This window comes from Homo sapiens, chromosome 2, assembly GCF_000001405.40.
Source record: "Homo sapiens chromosome 2, GRCh38.p14 Primary Assembly".
Classification (NCBI taxonomy): Eukaryota; Metazoa; Chordata; class Mammalia; order Primates; family Hominidae; genus Homo; species Homo sapiens.
The window spans coordinates 86,978,387-87,002,926 of record NC_000002.12 but is presented as its reverse complement, the minus strand read 5'-3'; the positions used below and the strand labels follow the sequence as shown (position 1 = coordinate 87,002,926).

Here is a 24,540-nt window from a genome sequence, read left to right as displayed (position 1 = left end):
TCATTTTTGCTGTATTCTACTGGTTAAAAATAACTCATTAGGTTAGCCTACTGGCTCTCAGGGGGAAGAGATTATACAAAGGCATGAATTTCTGGAGGAGGGAATGAGGGCAAAGAACTCTGAAAAGTTTCTCTTCCACAATCTGAAGAACTTCTAGAAAGTAGAAGGAAGCAATATTGCTTAGGGATGGACAACTTGGCACTGGTTATGTGTTCCAAGTGAGGTAACCTTGTTCCCAGGAATAAAGAGAACCAGATGACTGTAAACATTTCCCTAAACTGAAATGCACTGTTGTATGTTCACCTGAAATGAATGGTGTAAGCTGAATATGAGATTTTTGACAAAATAAAAATTTTGCTGTGTTCTCAGATCTGGCAGGCTATTGTGAGGCAATGTGTCATTTTACCTTATAACGCAGAGTTGTAACATGCTACTCTGAGCAGCTCATGACATCTGCTTGAAATTTAAGTTGGGCCCCTAGTATGTGTTTATTATAAAGATTTTGATGCTGCTTTTCAGAGTTGGGTAACCTACTTTACCCCCTTAGCTAATGTTTCCCAAATACACCCAAACCCACAGAAAGGAAAACTATTCCTCATTAACTCACAGCCAACATCATAAACATTTTATATCTAGAGCTGATGATACAGTCAGGTATTTACCAACACTCATGTATATATGTAGAGTTTCAAGAAATAATTGCTTATCCTTACTAGATTCAACATATTCTAATGTTTCACATATTATTTTTATTTCTTAATTTTTTTTTTAAAGATGGGGTTTTACTCTGTTGCCCAGGCTGAAATGCAGTGGCATGACCAGGATTTCGACCAGAAGTTTGACTGCAGCCTCAAACTCCTTATAACAAAGAATCCTGCTGCCTTAGCCTCCCGAGTAGCTAGGACTATGGGCACATGCCACCAGATCTGGTATATTTTAAAATTTTTGTAGACATAGGGTCTCGCCATGTTGCCCACGCTGATTCTGAACTCCTGTTCTCAAGCAATCCTCCTGCCTGGTCTTCCCAAACTTTTGGGCTTACAGCTGTGAGTCACTGACCCCAGCTTGTATTCTTTTGATTTTAAAAAAATATTCTGAATGTGATCCACCAAATTAATTTCACCATCCACTAATAGGTAGCAACCTGAATGAAAAATACTGTTATAAACTTTACACAAAACCAGAGATTATAAACATTTGCTTCCAAGGAGAGAGGTAAAAGGTACTTGTTTGCTCTGATGGGCCCTGTTTCCTTCAGTGCCAGGAAGAGTGGCTCTCAGACCTTTCTTCTGGCATCCCTCATGTATGCAGTGTTGGTTATTATTTTCAAGGCCTTGGTAACCAAATGCCCCTAGTGTGACCAGTCAGACTGACAGTCCATATCTGTAATATGGTGGTAAGTTTCCTTTGCATGTCTTTCTTTCTGGCATCTTAGAACTTTTACCTAGGAAATTTTCTTTTTGCTTGAAGTACATCATTAAGAATTTTCAGTGAAGGCAGATTCTTAAAGTTTTTGTTTTCCAGAAGAGATCTTGGAAAATATAAAAGGTTGGCAGTTATTTCTTTTAGTACATGAGATAGTATTACACCAATGCTGTTGAGAAGTCTATTGTGAGGCAATGTGTCTTCTTTCTCTGGCTGCTTTTGAGATTTCTCTCTGTCTTTTTTAGGGGCAGTTTTACTCTTATGTGACTAGAAGTAGATTTCTTCTTTTTTTTTTAATATTGCTTGAGATTTTATTGGGTTTTTGAATCTGTGGATAGATATCCTTCAACAGTTCTGAAAGATTTCCAGCCATTCTCTTCATATATTATCTGTGCTGTATTCTTGTCTCTCCTTTTAGAACTTCGATTAGTAAAAACATGTTTGATGTCTTTTCCCACTCTTGTTTTTTGTTTCTCCCATGCTGAATTCTGTGTAATTTCTTTTGAACTATCTTGTAGTTTACATTTTTTTTTTTTTTTTTTTTTTTTTGAGATAAGAGTTTTGCTCTTGTTGCTCGGGCTGGAGTGCAATGGCACCATCTTGGCTCACTGCAACCTCTGCCTCCTGGGTTCAAGCAGTTCTCCTACCTCAGCCTCCCAAGTAGCTGGGATTACAGGCATGCACCACCACGCCCAGCTAATTTTTGTATTCTGAGTAGAGACGGGGTTTCACCATGTTGGCCAGGCTGGTCTCGAACTCCTGACCTCAGGTGATCTACCCTCCTCAGCCTCCCAAAGTGCTGGATTACAGGTGTGAGCCACCGTGCCAGGCCTTACATTCTCTCTCTTAAAGAGAAAATGTAAGGTATCTAAATCTGCTGCTAAACCATCAGTTTTTAATTGTAATAAGGTCTCTTTTATGTACTCACATTGATAAGAGACAAGTAGGAAATAATCTTTAAAGGGCAAACTAATTTAAATGTGTTTTCCTGTCTGTTTACAGGACTTACCAAATGCACATCTTAGAGTTCTGGGTTTCTAATGTGTATCTCCTCTATGAAATTCTTTAAAAATATCTGTTCTTGGTATCCCTTAGGTTAGTCTCTTTTAGAACTTCTAAATCAATGGACCCTTAACTTATAGGAGCCACCTGGACGTTAGCAACGTCTACATTAAACATGCTGAGCTTTTAAAAGAGACCTGTTAGACATGCTGAGTATTTTGAGATAATATCATTGTTGTATTGAAAACTTTAATTTTAAAATGCAAACATTCTTAAAGTCCTGGTTAATTTTATAACTATAAAATTAGTTATAATTTTGAGATTTCTGTCTTGTTTTTTATAGGGGCAGTTTTACTCTTAGGTGACTAGAAGTAGATTTCTTCTTTTTTATAACTATAAAATTAGGTTTACTTTTGTTAGAATAAATTAAAGACAGTGAACCTGTAATTTGAATAACTACTAAAAATATACATGATGTATTCTTATTTGGGCCCTTGTGACAAAAATACTATTGTGGCTATAGAAACCTATCCTATAGTTTGAAGAACTGAGATTACTGTCAGTATTGAGAACATTCCTCCTTCATCATTAGAAAGATTATTAAAAACCAGATTCAAAGAAACTATCAATACTACTTATGAAGTATGTCTGTAAAAAAAATTAAGCCTGAATCTTATCAGGCCTCTAGACCAGGGATTCTCAAGGTATGGGCCCCAGACCAGAAGTATCAGCAACGAATTGCTAAAAATGCAGAATCTTGGGTCAGAAATTGGGGACCAGCAATTGGAATTTTAGTAAGTATACCAGATGATTCAGATGCCTGCTCAATTTTGAGGATGACTCTTATCAGTTTAGTTATTAGGATTTACAGGGGATGGGGAACATGTTAAAGAGCACCAACTAGATAAGGTCAATCAGTCAAAAGTAAGATGTCTGGACATTCTGGGCCTCCTGATGTCTTAGAAAGCACACAATACCATCTATGGTGTATTTTTGTCCACCATCCCACCCAATTGCACCTGGATCTTCCTATTTATAGGCAATTAGAACAAGCTCAGTGTTACCCTGTAATGATTAAAAACCAAATATAGGACTGCTATAGCATAAATGACCACTTTCTTCAATTAATAAGTGGCACATTAAAAATATATTTATATATGTAATTGTTATAGATAAAAAAAACAAAATGGCCGGGCGTGGTGGCTCACACCTGTAATCCCAGCACTTTGGGAGGCCAAGGCGGGCAGATGACAAGGTCAGGAGATTGAGACCATCCTGGCCAACATGGTGAAACCTCGTCTCTACTAAAAATAGAAAAATTAGCTGGCGTGCATCTGTAGTCCCAGCTACTTGGGAGGCTGACGCAGGAGAATCGCTTGAATCCGGGAGGCGGAGGTTGCAGTGAGCCATGATCGGACCACTGCACTCCAGCCAGGGTGACAGAGCAACACTACGTCTCAAACAAACAAAAACACAACAACAAAATAAAGCTTAAGGAACATCAACCAAATGCAATATATGAGCCCTATTTAGGATACTATAAAAAGACATTCACAATAACACAGGCAAAATGAACATAAACTAGGTATAGGTGACAGAGAAATCCAATAAACATTGAATTATTCACTGGGGAAAGAAATGATGTGTGGGATTTAAGTCTCTAACTCTCCCCTATTTACGCCAAAAGATTGTCCATGAGTTGAAAACCGTTAGAGATGGGTGACAACTCAAGAGAGATTATAGCGTCTTCCTTGTGCTTGTAAATGTCAAAAATAAAAGTAATTTAAAACTAAAACAAAAATGAAACCATAATTCTTAAGATGCAGCTTGAATTCAGTTAACTATAGCAGTTGTATATGAAGCATTTCAAAGAAGTTAATGACATCACAGTATTAAATCCATCTGACATGGAAACCAACTCTAACTACATCATAGTTTTTTTTTTTTTTTTTTTTTTTTTTTTTTTTTTTTTTTTTTTTTTTTTTTTTGAGATGGGAGTCTCGCTCTGCCGTCAGGCTGGAGTACAGTGGCGTGACAGATCACTGCAACCTCCACCTCGTGAGTTCAAGCGACTCTCCTGCCTCAGCCTCCTGAGTAGCTGGGACTACAGGCACATGCCACCACGTCCAGCTAATTTTTGTATTTTTAGTAGAGACGAGATTTCACCATGTTGGCCAGGATAGTCTCAGTATCTTGATCTTGTGATCCGCCTGCCTCGGCCTCCCAAAGTGGTGGGATTATAGGCATGAACCACCAGTGCCTGGCCTATGGCACAGTTTTAAAACTGCATTTGCCTAGAAAGTGGACTGCTGTATATAGACCAAGTGTTGGGCTATATGACTCCATTGTCTTAGGCTATTTGGGGTTGGAGGAAGGAAGAGGGGTGAAGTAGAAAAGGAACAAGCTAATAAATGTTTTTTAAAAAGTAGAATTTAAAACAAAACCACGTTCAGCTGAACACCAGAACTCAACACCAGGATAAAAATCCAATTTTCAAAGAGCTAGAAGATCAAGCTAAGCACTTATTGTATTTTGCTGAATGTTAAAATTATATAAATGTACTACAGTTGCCTCAAGATGTTAAAAAGTCAGCTTTTCAAATCTAGTCACGGCCTACTCATATGACAGACCCAATTCAAATGAGCAAAATTGAAAAGTTACACATACAGACAACTTCTCAACCACCAGGCTGTTTAGTTTAAGTTAGAAGTCAGAAGTTCTGAGACTCTCCTTTTACCCACCTTGAGCAACCGCAGCAAGTTTTCCCTTTTCTTCAGGGCTGAGCTGCAACATCGTATTTATAACAGGAAGAAGGCTCTCTCTCTCACTACCTGGCTTCAAGAAAATGAACTGCAGCAAGACGTTCTTCAAGTGTTCCACGTTAGCTGCAGACTCCTCTTGATTCCTTTCCAATCTTCTTATTTCACTTTTGAGAAGCTGGTGTTAGAGAAATGAGTTAAAAATGGGCTTTAGGAGCTTCTGATTAAATATGGCAGACTGAACTCATGTATTTTTCTTCTCTTCCCCCCAAATTTCCCCCTTCCCTCCATATGGCAATAAAGGAAGGAATTCAGTTAACTACAGCAGCTGCATGTGAAGCATTTCAAAGGAGTTTATGACATCACCGTATAAAATCCATTTGACATGAAAACCGGAACTCCAACTATGAGATAGTTTCAAAGCTGCATTTGCCTAGAAAGTGGATTGCTGCATATGAACCAAGTGTTGGGCTATATGACTCCATTGTCCTAAGCTATTTGGGGTTGGAAGGAAGAGGGGTGAAGTAGAAAAGCAACAAGCTAATACAAGAGGAGAAAAAGTAGATGAGATAACGTCAAGACATTCTCACGAGAAACAGATGAAGAGGTGGAAATGAGTCAGTCCAGCAGCTTACCAAGTATCACTGACAAGAGGAGAGGATGCATCCTGTGTAAATACTGGAGTTCTTGTCTCAGAAGCACAGGGTATCATGGAAATGGAGTTGAAAGCTGGGGAACTGATGGAACGTCTCCATGAGGAGCAACTAACTGGAGCCATGGGTTGGTACCAAGATGTTCCCTCTGCCTTCTACTTTTGATAGAAACTAAGCCAGTATGGCATGGGGCTCTGAAAATGGGCTGAGGGGAACATCGGTAGCCTCCACTAACCCCCTGCCCCTACGCTGTTCCTGAAGTCCCAGGCAGTTAAGACGTCCACAGTGAACGGCACTTAAAAAGTTCAGACACAGTGAAAATTCAGGAATATAAGACAATGTAAAACACTATCAGAGAAATGAGGCAAAGAACGATATAAAAAAGGTAGTATCATGTTCAAGTCTTTGAGGAAGATTTCCAGGTTGAAACCAAGCCATAGCTTTTAGTATATTTTCATTTTAGGTTAGGCAAGAAAGTTAGCGAACTTTGTCCTCAAACCTAGGACCATTTAAAAAAGTGACAATAAAGAAGACAAAGAAATCATGAAGAGAGTATAAATTTATGAAAATATAACATTTGGCCAGGCGTGGTGGCTCATGCCTGTAATCCCAACACTTTGGGAGGCTGAGGCAGGCAGATCATGAGGTCAGGAGATTCAGACCGTCCTGGCCAACATGGTGAAACCGTGTCTCTAGTAAAATAAAAAAAATTAGCCGGGCATGGTGGTGCGTGCCTGCAGTCCCAGCTACTCGGGAGGCTGAGGCAGGGGAATCGCTTGAACCTGGGAGGCGGAGATTGCAGTGAGCTGAGATTGCACCACTGCACTCCAAACCTGGTGACAGAGCAAGACTATCTCAAAAAAAAAAAAAAAAGAAAATATAACATTTAAATAAGTCATTTAGGTTTACTGGGCTAGTTAGTGATTTGTTAGCTATGATAATGTTTTTATTAGTGGGAAAATGCTATTTTATAGAGATGCATACTGAAGTATTTAATGGTGGAATGTCATGATATATACAATTTACTGAAAATAACTGAATTCGGCTTTAAAATAATCTGACAAGGATAGCTAGTGGCCTTGCACAGTGGCAGGACAGATCTACTAGGAACAGCAAAGTACAGGGGAAAAGCATGTACTTTTCAGACAGCTATGAGTTTGAATTTTGTTCCACCATTTACCAGCTTCAATTTTTCTCTCAACCAGTGATGAGATTAAATAATGTATGTAGAGCCCAGGGCCTGGGTCATAAGAACTCCTCAATAAGCAGTATGACTATATTCTGAGGGGTGATTTATCAGTGAGCCAGGGTGGAAATACCTCATTTGAGTAATCCTCAACTGTTCTGCAACATTCCTAGATGTTTCTGGTGTCTACTTTAAACAGGAAAAACTTCCCATGCCACTTTGCCATCTCCACCTGAAAACTGTTTAGTAGTTCAGTACTATAAATATCAGTTGAATAATTTAAATTCACTGGTTATCTTTAGAATTCAAAGACTCACACCCATTTTTTATTTAAGCATATGTGAACAATGATTTGTGAACATCTCTCTAGTTTCTAAATCTATTACGGTTTCTTAGGAAAAGTAGGAATTAAGAAATAATCTTTATGTAATAGGTGTAAAAGAAGTATTTTGGCTGGATGCGGTGGCTCTTGCCTGTAATACCCACACTTTGGGAGGCCAAGGCAGGTGGATCACGAGGTCAGGAGATCGAGACCATCCTGGCTAACATGGTAAACCCTGTCTCTACTAAAAATACAAAGAAATTAGCCAGGCATGTTGGCGGGCACCTGTAGTCCCAGCTACTCGGGAGGCTGAGGCAGGAGAATGGCGTGAACCTGGGAGGTGGAGCTTGCAGTGAGCCGAGATCGTGCCACTGCACTCCAGCCTGGGTGACAGAGCAAGACTGTCTCAAAAAAAAAAAAAAAAAAAAAAAAAAAAGGCAATATTTATTTCTCACCATCAGGAATCTAATAATCTAATATAAAGATCAAGACGTTATAGATGCATCTGCAATGTGAATTTTTAAACTTGGGTGCATGTGTATGGAGGGTCCAGAAAACCAAACTGGCGGTTTTCACAGTGGCCAGGTTTCTGATCTCACCTTAATTTGCTCCATAAGGACTGCACTGGTTGCCTCTGTTTCCCGAAGCAGGCCGTTTAACTGATCTGCACTTTTTGTGGTGGAACTGAGCTTCTGAACCAATTCTTCTTTGGTAAATTCAGCATGCCATAATGGAGGCTCTGCAACATGTTGTTCCAAGAATTAATTTTCAAAATCATACATTACAGATGAAGATTCTAAATAAGAAAAATCTAAATATAAATATCTTACTATGTGATATTTTATAGGTCTGCTTTCTTTGCCATTCATCTATTCAACATACCTCAATCAACAGATTATATGTTGTAGGTGACACAAATAAAACAGTATCTCTGTTGTAAAGCATGTAATCTAACTGAATACAAGCCCTATGAGTCCCAGTTCTGAAATTTGTCAGAATTGTGTTTATAGACAGTTTTATTACACATCTTCTTCCCATCTATTAATATTCCAAGATTTTATGTCATTTCACGTATAAGGAAAGCATTAACATTTACTGGTCACGTATCATGTTCCCTCATAAGAATCTTCTATCAGGCGGGGTAGGTATCATTATTCAAACTTTACAGACAATGAAACAGGCTCACAGTTGACAGGTAATTTTTTCAGAAATCACAAAGTCAAATTGGCTTCTGGAGTCTGCTGCTCTATCATGATGCCTCCGTGTCACCACTATTAACTTTGCCTGAAGGAACCATGACTTGCAGTTTCTACCCCATGTGGTCAGTGACCATGAATACAAATGACCCTTACTCCAGGTGATTCTGAAGTTTCAGGAAGATGACAGATTCCCCCTAAATTTTGAACAGTAATATTAATTACAGGTAATAAAATATACCAAAACATCACTACAAAAATTTAGCATTACTTCATCAAGAGGAATAAACTGAAACTGTCAGTTTCTTGGAAGGGTGAGAGGATAGTTTATCCTGCTTTCTAATACCCACCACCTATTTGTGACTATAAACTTCCCACCACTTATTTATGGTTCAAGCCTAGGGCAAGAGCTAGCATTTTATTTTAAAAAAGATTTGTTTAATAATTTTTCCATTTGGACAGTGTGATGGTTAATACTGGGTGTCAACTTGATTGGATTAAAGGATGCAAAGTATTAATCCTGAGTGTTGTCTGTGAGGGTGTTGCCAAAGGAGATTAACATTTGAGTCAGTGGGCTGGGGAAGGCAGACCCACCCTTAACCTGGTAGGTGCCATCTAATCAGCTGCCAGCGAATATAAAGCAGGCAGAAAAACCTGAAAAGGCGAGACTGGCCTAGCCTCCCAACCTACATCTTTCTCCTGTGCTGGATGCTTCCTGCCCTTGAACATCAGACTCCTAGTTCTTCAGTTTTGGAACTTGGACTGGCTCTCGTTGCTCCTCAGTCTGCAGATGGCCTAGTGATCGTGTAAGGTAATACTTAATAAGCATCCATCCATCCATCTCATCCATCCATCCAACCATCCAATTAGCTCTGTCCCTCTAGAGAACCCTAATACAAACAGGTAGTGGAATATTGAAAGAAATTTTATTGGAGCAGCCCAAAAAAGCATATGTACCTTAGTGTAATAGTAATTAAATAAGACAGTGAAATTAAAGAAGAAGAACATATTTAGACAGAGTAACAGACCAAGTTTAGTTTCGGGAGAATTAAGCAGCTGCTCTAAAGACTGTGTGTATGTGCTGGCGGAAGACACAGACTCCGTAATCAGTTGTCTCCATGCCTTCTCCCTCTTCCCGGGTTACAGTGTGCATGTCTAGAAGCGGGAGGTCTGTGTTTCTCCTTTCTCGAAGGTTCTTCAAAGATTGCTGAGAGGAAACTGGGCCTATTAGATTTTTTTTAAAGGTTAAGTGTGAGATTGTTCAAAATCTATTGATTCGGCCTTACAGAGATACACAATAAAATGAAAATATCAAATGATAAGAGTAGAGGAATTAAGTAACTATAAGTGAAAGGTGTATGAAGAATTGCTAAAACATTTCCTAAAATTTAGTCATCAAGGCCAGGCGTGGTGGCTCAAATCTGTAATCCTAGCAGTTTGGGAGGCTAAGGTGGGTGGATCACGAGGTCAGCAAGTTCAAGACCAGCCTGGCCAAGATGGTGAAACCCTATCTCTACTAAAAATACAAAAATTAGCCAGGCACGGTGGCAGGTGCCTGTAATCCCAGCTGCTGGGGAGGCTGAGGCAGAGAATTGCTGGAAGCCAGGAGGCGGAGGTTGCAGTGAGCCAAGATCATGCCACTGCACTCCAGCCTGGCGACAGAGCGAGACTCCAGCTCAAAAAAACAAACAAACAAACAAAAAAAAACTTAGTCATCAAACTTTTAACTACGTTAGTCATTTTAATAGCAGCTATAAATTAATTGCTACTAGCTAAGATAAACTGTTAGATAACACAGCTCATAATATAGTACTACTTATTTTTTATTAATTTAGAGTAGAGGGCCAAACTACTGCTAAATACTGGCCAAAATTAAAAGACTAGATTCTAGCAATTTTTCAGGATTAGGTATTTCAGATTGCGGCATACTTCTTGAAACACACTTGCCGAAATCTGCTTGGTAGACATCCTCAATCACTGCCCTTATACCTTTACCTCTGCAGCTTCTTAATTGTTGCTGCTCACACCTACAGTGCTCATACAGTTAAGAGCCCAGAATCCAGGGCACAGAACTAATCAATTACGTTGCCTAGCAAGACTTTCCTGTTTGCTGATAAACTATATTTTTTCTGAAACAGGGTCTCACTCTGTCACACAGGTTGGAGTGCAGTGGCACGATCTTGGCTCACAGCAACCTCTGCCTCCCAGGCTCAAGCCATCCTCCCACCTCAGCCCCACAAGTAGCTGGGACTTCCAGGTGCATGCCATCCCGCCCAGATAATTTTTGTACTTTTAATAGAGATGGGATTTCACCATGTTGTTCAGACTGGTCTCAAACTCCTGGCCTCATGTGATCCACCCGCCTTGGCCTCCCAAAGTGCTGAGATTGCAGGGGTGAGACACCACGCCTGGTCTAAACTGTAAAGTTTATCGGGCCCTTTGACATGTATTGGTTTATTGACTCCCAAAAATCTGAAGTTCAGAGAAATTTAATGACTTTGCCCAAGGTCTCATAACTGAGTTAGAAACCAGAATTGTAATCTAGATTTTTAAACTTCAGATTTCATTTATTTTGCATTTCATTAAATTGCCTTAGTCCTGACTGCCCTTTCTAAAGCATTTTCCTGGGTTTCTGGTAAGCTGACTGCTTATTCCACTGCTGATTGCTAGATTACAATCTCTTGTGCGACCTTTGCCCTGGCTGATTACTTCCTTTGTTGATTCTTTGGCATATGTTAAATTCTTCTGAAGTTGCTTTTTTACCCTAATAAGTGACCGATAGCTGCTAATGCTCCAGTGACAATATTTCCCATGGGAAACCAAAACACCATCAACTTGCTACTAAAATACTGCATCATCATGGCTGACATTTTTCCATTTCTTCCTGGAAGCAGAATGGAAGATACTGGGTACGGCTGAACTAAAACTCCAACTAATTGTAAATATGAAAGCAAAGAAGCTATATTGGTTATGCAATTCTACACATTCAGTGCTGCTTGAGTGTTTCTAAGTTCCTTGCTCTAGCTAATGTTTCTATTTAAAAAGTAGACAAATTTGATGACTAACAACGGAGAACACGAAACAAATCTGGTGAATACCAGAATTAAGACATGTGTCAGCCAGGCGCAGTGGCTCATGCCTGTAATCCCAGCACTTTGGGAGGCCGAGGCGGGTGGATCACGAGGTCAGGAGACCGAGACTATCTGAGGGAGAATCTTCAGGTTTTTTCTTCTCTTTTGCTGTAACACCAGTCAAAAAAATTGACAAAGATAAGGTATTAAGTATTGACGTTAATACTCTACCTGAAAATAAAAACCATGGAACCTATCTATAGGTTAAAACAGCATACTGATAAAAAACACATATACTTTGATGCAGAGATGTACGATAATCATGAATTAGAATTAGCATCCTGATTTAGTTTTCTACCAAAAACCCTAAGTGAACACAGAATCTATTTAAAACGAAAGAAAACAAAAAAATCTTGTGTTTACTTAATAGTCATTGAAAAGAATTACTACAAATTTCTAGAATTTAAAAAGGTTAAAAATTTTAAAGTGTTGCCTAACTATACTTAGCATACAATAGTTTACCAAAATATCCATGCATTTGCAGCAATTGAAAAAAATCTTAAAACATAAGCAAGTATTAGTATACATATGAAACTAATCCAAAGCCAACTGTGATTAGTTCCTGTAAGGAAAGTTAACAATTGCCAAGAATGGAAGGTGACTAGAGTTGCATCTAGTTTGCCTGTGTTCAAGCATGATACTAGATAAAATTAAATAAAAACTGTTACTCTATGGGTAGCTAACACTATAAAATCTAAGACCATTCATATGGCTGAAAACAACCCATCCCCAGCCACCATCAATGCAAAGGGCAAAAAATTAGAAACAGAAAAAACTTCTATATGCAACCTGTTCTGATCTATTAATGTAAAGAACAACTTCTGGCTAAAGGAGTTTAATAAAGTAAGCCAGTTATGAAGCATGCCATGTATACCAACTGGTGACAGGGAAACATTCTGAGAGCTATGGTGTCCAATATGGTAGCCTAGCCACATTCTATTAAAACCTCACAAGGTGGCTAGTCCAAATCAAGACATGCTAACAGTAAGTGTAAACACACACACTGGATTTTGAAGACTTGGTGAAAAACAATAATGTAAAATATCATTAATTTTTATATTAATTAGAAGTTAAAATGATATTTTGGACATAATGAGTTAAATCAAATCTATCGATAAAGTTACTTTCATCTGTTTCCCTTTTTAACTGTTTCTTTTTATTCTTTTTAATATGGCTACTAGAAAATTTATTTATTTATGTATTTATTTGAGATGCGGTCTTGCTTTGTCACCCAGAGCTGGAGTGCAGTGATGTGATCATAGTTCACTGAAGCCTGGAACTTGTGGGCTCAAGTGATCCCTCTGCCTCAGCCTCCCAAGTAACTGGGATTATAGGCACAAGCCATTGCACCAAATGACAATTTTAAATTACATACACAGGTTATATTTTATTTCTATTGGATGACACTGCTCTGCAGAACCAGTGCCCTTCCTTTTACAATGTTAAATTTGTCCCTCTCCTTCATTATAAACGAAAACCTAGTATCATTTCCTAGCTAGGAGAAATAACAGTACACCGTAAGATACAGATTCTTGTTCCACTTCTGCTATTACTCAGTAAAGACCTCTTGGGTAAATCAGATAGCCTCTCTTGGCCTCAGTTTACTCATGTCTAAAGTCTTCATTTCTAAGGTCCCTTGGGACAATGACATTATCAGATTCAAAACAGAATAAGGCTCTATGTTCTACAGTAGTGTATAGGCACATTCGTTCTTAGGTCAGGGATTCCTAACCTAGAGCTCACAGAAACTGTACGCAAGTATACATCCACTTTTAAGTTAACACTTTTCACATTTCTCAAAGACCGTATCTTTAAAATAAAAGATTAAGAGCTACCTTAGCTGGTAATAAAACTGGTATACTCAAAAAAAAATCAGAGATTGTTATTTTATCATTGTACTTGTTTGGCATGGCTAAGATGTGTTACTGGTCACTAAGGGTGAGGTTTCACTTCCCTAACCTGTTCTTGAAGGCCTTCAACAGATCCCACTTCTTGTTCCACTCTAGTAGCCACACTTCTAAAAATGATCTGTGCAACATATATAATATGCAAGCTGTAGAATGCTGGCTGTTAAAAATGGGGTCCATTTTCAAATACAACATTTTTCTAAACCATGCACAAAAGAACAGCCCTACAGGGACACTCTTCCATACTGTATACATGCCGTTGCCACTACATGTGAATACTGGCAGACGTTAGTGGCTAAAGATAAACATTAGATAAAACATAGGTCTTCACTGAGCAGACCTGAAATAGCAGAGCAATGAAGTACATTACAAATCAGCATCCCAGTACATTTTAAAAAACAAACCAACAAGGGTGTCATGCCACCAGTCAAAAGGTACTTTGCTTAAACTGGCATTCTTTAACATTCATGTTGTAGTGGTAAGTACTTCATTTCATACAGCCACAGTTATTAATACTTTCCTAAGGGCTACCAGCTGCTAAAAACTGCTGTTATCTCATACTGAGAATGCTAGTTCTATACCTTTGCTCTCAGGCTGTGAGGAAGGGGTGCTAGTCCAAAAGGCCATGGGATTAGATTTAAAAAGGCTAAAATTAAATCCTAGAAAATAAAGAATATTTCATTTTTTAACATTTTAGGAAACAAAATGAATATGCTTTTAAAACATAAAAAGCCAGAATCCCTCAATTTATACCACCAATCTGACTGTCTTACATATTCATTTATCCCTGTAGTTTCATTCTTTGCTCATTTAATACATGAGCAAGACTGACATACAACACATAAAATGAGAACATCTCAATATCATGGTTTTTTTTGTTTTTTTGTTTTTTTTTTTTTTTTTTGGAGACAAAGTCTCACTCAGTCAGGCTGGAGTGCAGTGGCATGACTTCAGCTCACTGCTACCTCCATCTCCTGTGCTCAAGCGATCCACCTGCCTCAACCTCCTGAGTAGCTGCTAATTATAGGCACGCACCACCACGCCCGGCTCATTTTTGTATTTTCAGTAGAAACAGGGTTTCACCACGTTGGCCAGGCTGGTCTCGAACTCCTGAGCTCAAGTGATCTGCCCACCTCAACCTCCCAAAGTGCTGGCATTCTAGGAGTGAGCCACCGTGCCCAGCCTCAATATCATGTTTTCTGAGTGACAAAAGAAACAGAACAAATGAAAATGAACACTTTAAAAAAAGACTCACGTTAATGCGCATGATTCAAGCATGAGTCCATACACTGTACCAAGTTCTTTTGCTCTGCCCTAGCATGATAGAAGTATCTTCCAGTTACTGAAATGTCTTTAACTAAGTTCTCTTGCTCTTTGAAACCTCACCGTGAACTTATTAAGGGAGAAAAAAAATTGCTCAAATATTTTGGGGGTGTTCACAAAGCATCGTTTATATCCCAACATTAGTATCCCACAAAGAGTCTGCATCAAGCTAAACATTAAAAGAAAGAAAAATTGTGCTTAACTTTAACAACAAAGTACCTACCCTTTTCTGGTGTTTTAAATGTGTAGTTGATTGAAGATTCTTCCATTGGAAAGGAAGCAGAGAGATTTTTGACTTTGCTATCTGAAGACTGTTCGATATCAGAGTTCTTTGACAGTTCACATTTTTTAGGTTCCACTTTGCTTTCAGATCCACTCTGGGCTACTGAACTAGTTTCACTATCGTTACTTTTCAAAGGTGCATTAAAACTAAATCCAAACAAAGACCCAGTGGCAGAACTGTTGCCAAATGCAAATGGGTTTGATTTTTCACTACTAAAAATTCTTTTAACAGACTCTGAACCAAATACAAACTTTGGAGGAGAAACCACTGCTTTTGTTGTTGTTTCAGATGTGCTAGACACTTCAACTTCTGAAGCTGCATCTGCTACATCATCACCCTGAATAACATCTGTCCTCTCTCTTGTGGTTTCTTCTAATACAGCTACAGCAATTTTGCCACATGGTGACTCTCTGGGAGTGCTTGACCGAGAAACATGAGGTGTTATCAAAGAATCTTTTTCCTGGGCTGTTTTTGCTTCATCAAAAATTTTCTTAAATGAGTCTGCAACATCCTGTAGTTTAAAACGAACAGCTAAATGCTCTACTTTTCTTTCTCCATCTGCAAAATCACATGCAGTCCACACCCATACTCTTTCTGTCCCTTTCATATTTTGCAAACTCATGTCTGGAGTTATTCTGTGATTGGCACAAAGTTTTAATACTTGGTCCCTTCTCATCACTATACGAACTTGCTTATTATCATAATTCTGTAAAATCTTTATATCACCAATGCCCCTTTCTTTCCATTGACCAACATCTTTATCATATCTGTAGAGTTCTGCCCTGTGACTAAAAACAACTTGTTCATTTTCCTCACCACTGGATACTTCAACTAGATCAGGTAAAGGAACAACAGGTTCAAAGTACTGTCCATCTCTCTCTTCTTCTTGAGTAACATCAGATTCTTCATCAGTGCCAACTGAAGTCCCACTCTGATTCAACTTGGCAGGAGACTTAGATAGACTCAAAGCAGATTTAAAACTGAAGTTAAATCCTGTTGTTGACTCATCAAAGCGGAAAATATTTTTTCTCACAGGGCTACTTGCCAACGGAGAATCATGTACTGAGCTACTACTAACATTATCATCCAAAGCATCTTCCCTTAAATCATAGTTATCCCATTCTAATGTGGGCCCAGTGTTTTCAGGATTGGGTTTTATTGTTGTGTCTGAGGCACCGGCTGCACCTGTACCTGAACCCTTATTTTCTTCCTCAGTGACTTTTGTTTGATCATTTGTCAAAAACGTTTTGAAATCTTTCAGTCCACTCTTCATTTCTTCAGCTCTCTGTATTAGCTTGGCAGCTCTGCCAGTATCTACAAGTTTATGGGGAGTTTGAAGTGGTATGTCTAACAGAAGCCGCTGGCATTCCTCAAATTTCTGCTTGAATTCTTCAGCCAGCTCTGGTGTTTTAAATTGTGCTGCCAACCGCTCTAGTTTGGCATCACCATCAGAGAAATCACTGGCTAACCACATCCATGCTCTATCTGATCCAGAGAGGGGCTTCAGGTTCATTGTAGTTGTTATCCAATGATTAGCACACACTTTTAGTACTTGGTCTCTTCGCATCAGCATTCTTGGTTTGCCATTGACCTCATTTTTGAGAATTTTTAAGTTCCCCAAGCCCCTTTCTTTCCACTGACTTATCTCAGCATCAAATCTAAATAGTTTTACCCCCTGTGAATACAGAACTTTTTCACCTTCTTCTCCTGTTACAAGTTCTACTTTTTCAGGCATTTGAACTACTGGTTCAAAATGGATGTCATCGCTGTCCTCAGTCTTACAGGCATCATCATCTTTCTCAAAGTCACCGGAAGTGTTTGCTTTATTGGCCATTTTACCGCATTGTGATGAGAATAATTTTTCTCCAGCACCTGAAAATCCCTTGAAATTGGGGTCTTTTTTGCCAAACTGAAATCCTTCTCCTGAAGTTGATTTTGCAACATCTGCAAATGTAAAAGTGCTACTTGTTTGGCCAAAAATCACACCACGGCCATTCTTCTGGCCACTAATATCCTGAGCCTGGAAGCCAGTATCATTTTCAAGAGGCTTTTCACTTTTCTTTTCTTGATTTCCTGGTTCCGAAATGCCAAATTTAAATCCATCAGCAGACACAGCGATGGAAAATCCTTCTTTGGTTGACTTAAATTCTGTATTAGAAGAACCCTGAAACATAAATGAAGGTGAATTTTCTTGATCCACATGCCCAAAATAGTCATGAAATAAATACCTTCTTCATTCCTAAACAATTTATCAAATGATGTTAACAATAATGATGATGATGATGATGATAACATTTATTGAGCATTTATTAATGTGTCAGCTGGGCACTGTTCTAAGCACTTTACATTATTATCTCATTTTAATATCCTCAAAAACCCTATGAATTAAGGTATTATTATTACCCTCATTTCACATATGAGGCAACTGATGCATTGAGAGGTTAAGAAACTTGCCTGTGGTCAAAATAAGCAGAAGAACAAGGGTCTAAATGCACCCCAACACTCTGTCCTCAAAGCTGTCACATTCAACTACCACTGTAATATTGAGTCTTCAATCAATTGTTATATATATAGCTGTATCAGGCCTGAAAGTACTTACCACATAGTGGGTCAGCAAGGGCATTACAGTTCTATTTCTGTTAAAACAGAACGATGAAGGATCCACCACCACCACTCCCATTTTTAAAATATTCTAAATATTCACACTTATTAACACAAAAATAAGGTGACTAAGAAGGATAATTTCTGTATTTGGAGATAAATTTAAAATATCTACATTTTAAGGGACATAAAAGTTTTAATAGTGAACTGCTCTCTTGAATTTATTTGAAGGAACCCTAAACAATTTAAAAAGAAAATAATTATAAATGTATAAATTATTCCTTTGTTACCTTTGTGGGAGTAACATTAGCTGCTGGTCTGAGAAGATACTGGGAATTATATGCTGGTGACTGACTATAATATACTGAAGGGCCAGTAGTTGCAACTAAAAAAAAAAAAAAGAAAAGAAAGAAAACACTGTTAAAGTCTATACTACAGTTAAGACTATCTAGGCAAGAGCTATAAATACAAAAGCAATAGAAATTAAAGAAAGATTTAACTACATAAATTTTAAATTTCTGTACATCAAAATATACCAATCAAGATTATCAAATGACAAACTAGAAAAAAATTGCTAAATATGACATGAAGAATAAGAGAATAGCATCGCTGTGATCAACAAGAACTACCTCACAAGCATTAAAAAAGGAATAAAGGAGAAAGTAACTGTTGCCTTTTCTAAGAAAGATCAGTATGATGTGGAATTATGGACATTCAGTCACAGAAAGGACGTAAGGAACCAAGATGCCATCTGATGGTCAATGCATTTGAAGTGGGCCTAGAAAATCTGCAGAAAGACTAGGTTGTATTTTGTAAACTAAAGCTATTACTGAGAATGTTCAGCTCAAAAATCACCTGACAAATTCATGGAAAGGATGTCATAAATAACATAAAATGTGTTCCCTGGCTTAAAATAAAAAGCACATCAACACTCATACAGATGTACAAACTGTCTGCTCCCTCTGTTTGGTCTGTTTTACCAGGAAACAAAACGACTAGAAGGCACCCATGTTAATGACAAAACTACCAATAGTCATTTGCTTGAACTGTTTTATGATAGTTTTACCAGAAAACAACCAAAAGACCTTTTATGCCTGTACATGGAAGAAGAAACAGAAACTGTGCGAAGAGGTTCCAAACAATTGCCTCTGGAAAGCACTGAAAAATCAAGACCTAGAAAAGGCTAGCCAGAAGCCCAAGTTTGATTTTGGAAACCTTACAGAGGTGAGGATAACTATTTTGAAATTACTATGGGGAGGAAGCAGGCACAGAACACAGAACAACCTGACAGAAATGGCCCAAGAATCTTAAAGTCTTGCAAAATGTCTGTCTGCATGAAAGCAAAAAGAAAAAATAAAATATTAAATAAAAAAAAAATCTTAGTCTGAAGTTTAAGTAGGGACTTTAATTGACTACTGACTCTAAACTGTGAGGCTCTAATAAATATACTAAAAGTAATCTAATTTTTTAAAGCACCATATGAATAGACAATTTAGGAAAGAAATGTTAATAGGCCTCAAGGAACATGTTTTTGAAGTGAGCCTTGAAAATCTGCAAAATGACAAGGTTGCATTGTGCAAATTGAAGCTATTATGAGAATGTTCAAGTCAAAAAAATTACCTGACAAATTCATGCACAGGATCTCACAAGGAACACAAATGTGTTCGTTGGCTTTAAAAAAATCACATTAACATTCATGTTGATATACAAAAACTCTTCTCCATCTGTTTTGTGTGAGTTTTACCAAGAAACCAAACAACTGGAAGGTACCCACGTTGAAGATGGCAAAACTACCAACTGCCATTTGCATGAATTGTTGAGCATGACTAGTATTAAAAAAACTTAAAAATTGATATAACTTTTGTTCCTACAAATTGGCAAAGGATTTTATAAACTAGTAAGTCAGCATTAGCAAAAGTGCGAAAATGGCACTATCAGATACTAGTGGTAAGAGCATAAACTGAATATTTTGAATACCCTACAAAACTAGGACAGTGTCCTAGAATTTGTAATGGCATAAACCAGAAACAACATAAATAAAGGAACAGAATTTACAGTACTTCCATGTGATGGGACACCATGAACTCATTAATATTCAAAAAACATTTAAGTTTAAAAATGCTCAGAACTAAAGTAACATTTAAAAAACAGGCTAGCTCATCTACACACAACATAGTAACATGGTAACAATCTCATAAAAAATACTATATGTATAGAGAAAGAACCAGAAGGAAATGCTCTCAAATATAAGAAATGTTAATAAGGTGGTTAGTTTTTAGTTTTCTTCACCCTGTTCAGTACTTCTGAGTATCTCCTATGAGCTCATTAATCTTTAATTTTAATCATCTTATTTTAAAAAAACAAGGACCATCTTGATATATGTTTACTTTTATTAAGGAAAAAGAATCTATGAACACAGGAACAGAAATCAGGAGATCTTGGCTCTCGCCCTTTCAGTGCCACAAAGCTGTTTTGTGAACCTGTAAATAATCCATTTGGAGTCTCCATGTTTCTCAATTGTAAAATGAGGATATGCTGCTTCTACACATTTCACAGGGTCATTGCAAGAATAAAATGAGACAATGAGAATGTTGGATTTACATGCTTGTATAAGAACAGAAGACCTTTTATGCCTGTACACAGAAGAAATGGAAATCATGACCCACAAGGCACCAAATAACTGACTGCACACGTCACTAAAAAAGCCCCAGGAAAGGCTAGCCGGTTTGTTTATCCTCTTACAAGGACCTATATGATGTGTAAGGTTTTAAGAAAACAAGGTTTGAACGTTAGACATTTCATATACTTATCTATGACTTACGACATTTAATAAGCTTGACTTCACAAAGATTTTCTGTTATTTTGCTTGTGTTGAGAAGATACTATCACAAAAGGCTAGTGGGGTTGCCTTAACTATAGGAACCATCACACAAATGTGCTCATCTAAACTAGATTTTATTCTAAATCTTTCCTGGGCTAAAAAGAGAAAAAAAAAAGGGCACTACTACTACCATTTCAGAAGTCTGTCGTACGTAAAAGGAACAATTTTTTTATTTCTGGCTGCCTGGGAGCAATGTATTATACTGGCAAGTGCTTTGGAGTTACACCACTGGAGTGTGAATCTCGGCTCTATCAATAACTAGCTGTATAATAATGAGTAAGTTACCTAACCTTTCTTTATCCATTTCCTTATTTATAAAAAAGGGATTAATAATGGTACCGGCCATTCTAAGTTACTGTAATTAAATCAAATTACATTCACAAAGCACTTTTGCACATAGCCAACCCACAGTAAACACTATTAGTAACCTTAGTTCATTAACTGTTTACTGTATACTCTAATAAATGTCTGATACACACCCACGCCCACCTGCACATACACAAATGCTCATAGTAATTATGTAAGGCAAGTATTATCTCCACATTTCAGACAGGTTAACTTACACAGCTATTATAGTAAGTGATAGAGCAGAACTTAAAAACCCTGTATGATTCAGGTCCAAACTCCTTTTCTTTCTTTATATAACCATAATATTTCAAATTAAGTAAGATTTCCTATATAACGTCCTGCCTCTCATCATTATCATCAAAATAATTCCCCAGAGGTGTAGGTTCTTAATTAAGCATTTCTTAGTGCATAACTCTATTCAATAACATTTTTCAATTTAAGGAATAATCTCATCTCAGCTCATCTGAGGTGTGGATTAAGTGTTCTTTAAGCCTTTATATACACGTGATCACATACGGCTCGTTTTTTCTGCTTGGGATTATAAAAATCTCCGTAACACCAAATACAGCTTTTGAAGTCACATATAAACAGACGTTGACATGTATATTAACAAACATATATAAACAAGGTGATTTCACACGTTATCTACTTAAAAGAGGGAAGTAAAGTAGTTTTACTAAAATATGCGATTATGCACTTGCCAGCTCACCTGTTAGTGGAGCCCCATGAAATGTCTGTGACCCCTGATATCCATCAGGCACCGAGTCTGGTCCATAATTCTCTGTGGGCCAACGATGACGGGATGCTGACTTACTGCTATTTAGTTTCTATTGGAAGAAAAAAAAATCAAATAATTTTAATCATTTAATTATATCATGCCAGAAACAGTGCTGGGGAAACTTACTCTTTTAAATTTAAATAACTGATTTTTTCTTTTTTTCTTTTTTGAGATGGTGTCTCGATCTGTCATCCAGGCTGGAGTGCAATGGCACAATCTTGGCTCACCGCAACCTCCACCTCCTGGGCTCAAGCAATTCTCCCACCTCAGCCTCCCGAGTAGCTGGGATTACAGGCGTCAGCCAGCACACCCGGCTAATTTTTTGTATAATAGTAGAGATGGGGTTTCACCATGTTTGCCAGGCTAGTCTTGAACTCCTGACCTCAAGTGATCCAACACCTCAGCCTCCCAAAGTGCTGGGATTATAGGTGTGACCCACCACGCCCGGACCTGATTATATCTTTTGAAAGTTTCTATTTGCCAATGAGTTCTAGGTACCTGGTGCTGATTTTAAAATATGATTCTTAATTTGTTAAAAATTTATCTGCTCCCATTTTCATTCGTTAATACAAAACCTAATTCATTAACTCTCTCACCTAAACAAATAACCTCCTAAATGATCACACCTTCATTTCCATTCTACACTTGCCTACATTAACCTTTCTGACATTCACCTCCAGCCAAGACAATTCCCTGCTCAAAAAAACAAGTACCTACAAACTAAACTTCTTTCCCCAACTTTCACAGTCCTCTAACATTACACTGACCATCCTTTCAGTGTGTTCTTTCTATACTGCAATCTGGACTACCTGACATTCCAAATCACCTCCCCAAATTAGCTTTTCACTTAACCCCATGCTGAAACAAAATACAACTAATTCTCCAGGTGACGTTCAAATGCTCCACCAGGAAAGGGAAAAAAGCAGTAGCTGCAGATAATTTATTATGTATATAATAATACGTCCAATGCACTTAAACTCTTAATTTTTATACTATCTACACTGTTAGGTAAACAATATTAGCTCCTATCTTAAAATGAGAGAAAGGGATGCAGGGAATAACAGCTGGAATTTGAACCACATCTGACTCCAAAAATGTTCTCTTAACACAACTCTGCTGCCTTGACAAGATGGCAGATAGATACAATGCCATCTAGTGTAGCTATGTGGCTACCTGATCTCTGCTGAAGAAAACTAAATGACAGCACCATACCCAACCCTAGAACCTACAAAATGTCCCCTTACAAAACAGACACTTAACAGGAAATTCTTTTTCCAAAGAAATTGTAGTGGTATCAGAAAACAGGTAAATTTTGAAAAGTTTCAAACTTCTCTGTATCAGCCCAGGAATCCGACCAGTTCTAACAAGTGAGGTCAGGGACAGATCTAGCATGTCTGCTTTCTTTTTCTACAAGTGTTTCAAATAAAAATTTCCCAGAAAGACCTAACCATGAGGTCCAAAACTATCTCAATTTTCAAGCTAAATAAAATTTCCCCCACTCATCCATCTACAGTGCCTAGTCCAGATGCTACACATACACATCCAAGAAATAAGAAACTAGTGGAATCACCTAGAAAACTTTATGGTCACTGTTGGTATCCGCACCAGAGCTTTGAATTTGCAATCACTGCTGTAACTGTAATTTTTAACATTCAGTGTAATGAGAACTGGCTTCAATAATTCTCTCATTTTAAAGATAAGAAGCCAGTCACGAAGGAAGTGACTGGCCCAAGATCATTAATTAATGGCAGAGTCAGTACTAGTACCAAGCTTTTCAAGCTCATGGACTAGTGCTCCACTATACTTCCACAGAATACAATGTTGGGAGCCTGAAACCTGTATGTTAAGTCAAAATTGTATGTAATTGTCATAGGCCATGACTACACAGAATTAACATTCAAGATTTTTGTGCAAATTCAAAAATGTCTTCCCCACCAAATAGTATTCTCTCAATTTGCAAATACTGCTGATCACACTGTAATAATCGCCACACATCAGCATATCCTTGATGTAACTTTAGCAGTATAATTTAGTTCTTGCCTGATAAACATGAAAGAACCTACTTTTATTTCCAATTCCAAAAAAGTCAAGCTCCTTTGAACCCTATTGTTAAAATAAGATATATATACATAACTATTTCCTTACATAATTAAGTCAAATTCATATGGAAGTATTAAAATATAGCAAGACTTTTTGAAGCTCAGACCACTTTTCAATTCCTAGCTATACATTTGAAACACATGTAATCCACAGCTAATCTGAGAATGAACTCATAGACCAGAGTATGATTAGTACACTGTAGCAGTTCAATCACTCGGGAACCTTCTCTGTGTCAGGAACTCTTATATTTTAAATAAAACAGTTTCTACCTTTGAAGGTCTCAAATTTTGTGGAAGATGAGGAGAGAGACACATAAAGTACTTTCAAAAATATAGTAAAGGGCTGGGTGTGGTGGTTTACACCTGTAATCCCAGCACTTTGGGAGGCCAAGGTGGGCAGATCGCCTGAGGTCAGAAGTTCAAAACCAGCCTGGCCAACATGGTGAAACTCTGTGTCTACTAAAAATACAAAAATTAGCTGGTCCTGGTGGCGGGTGCCTGTAATCCCAGCTACTCAGGAGGCTGAGGCAGGAGAGTCGCTTGAACCTGGGAGGTGGAGGTTGCAGTGAGCCAAGATCGCACCATTGCACTCCAGACTGGGCAACAGAGTGAGACTCCATCTCAAAACAAAACAAAACAAAATATG

At 37.9% G+C, this 24,540-nt stretch overlaps 1 protein-coding gene across 10 annotated transcripts in view; it reads right to left on the bottom strand.

Moving 5' to 3' along the window:
- Window positions 1-24,540, bottom strand: part of RGPD1 (RANBP2 like and GRIP domain containing 1) — a 100,318-nt gene that overhangs the window by 11,050 nt on the left and 64,728 nt on the right. For 4 of the 10 annotated variants that reach the window (NM_001410915.1, XM_011532845.4, NM_001024457.4 and 1 more), the window contains 5 exons: window positions 21,727-21,844; window positions 18,079-18,173; window positions 15,128-17,351; window positions 7,947-8,086; window positions 5,169-5,364 (listed from right to left, as the gene is read on the bottom strand). In NM_001410915.1, the coding sequence (NP_001397844.1) occupies window positions 5,169-5,364; window positions 7,947-8,086; window positions 15,128-17,351; window positions 18,079-18,173; window positions 21,727-21,844 (2,773 nt within the window). Of the gene's footprint in view, window positions 1-5,168; window positions 5,365-7,158; window positions 7,265-7,946; window positions 8,087-9,233; window positions 9,434-10,912; window positions 11,783-12,149; window positions 14,241-15,127; window positions 17,352-18,078; window positions 18,174-21,726; window positions 21,845-24,540 lie in introns of those variants that run through there. The other 6 variants (XR_007074605.1, XR_007074622.1, XM_011532852.4 and 3 more) reach the window with 6 other exon arrangements.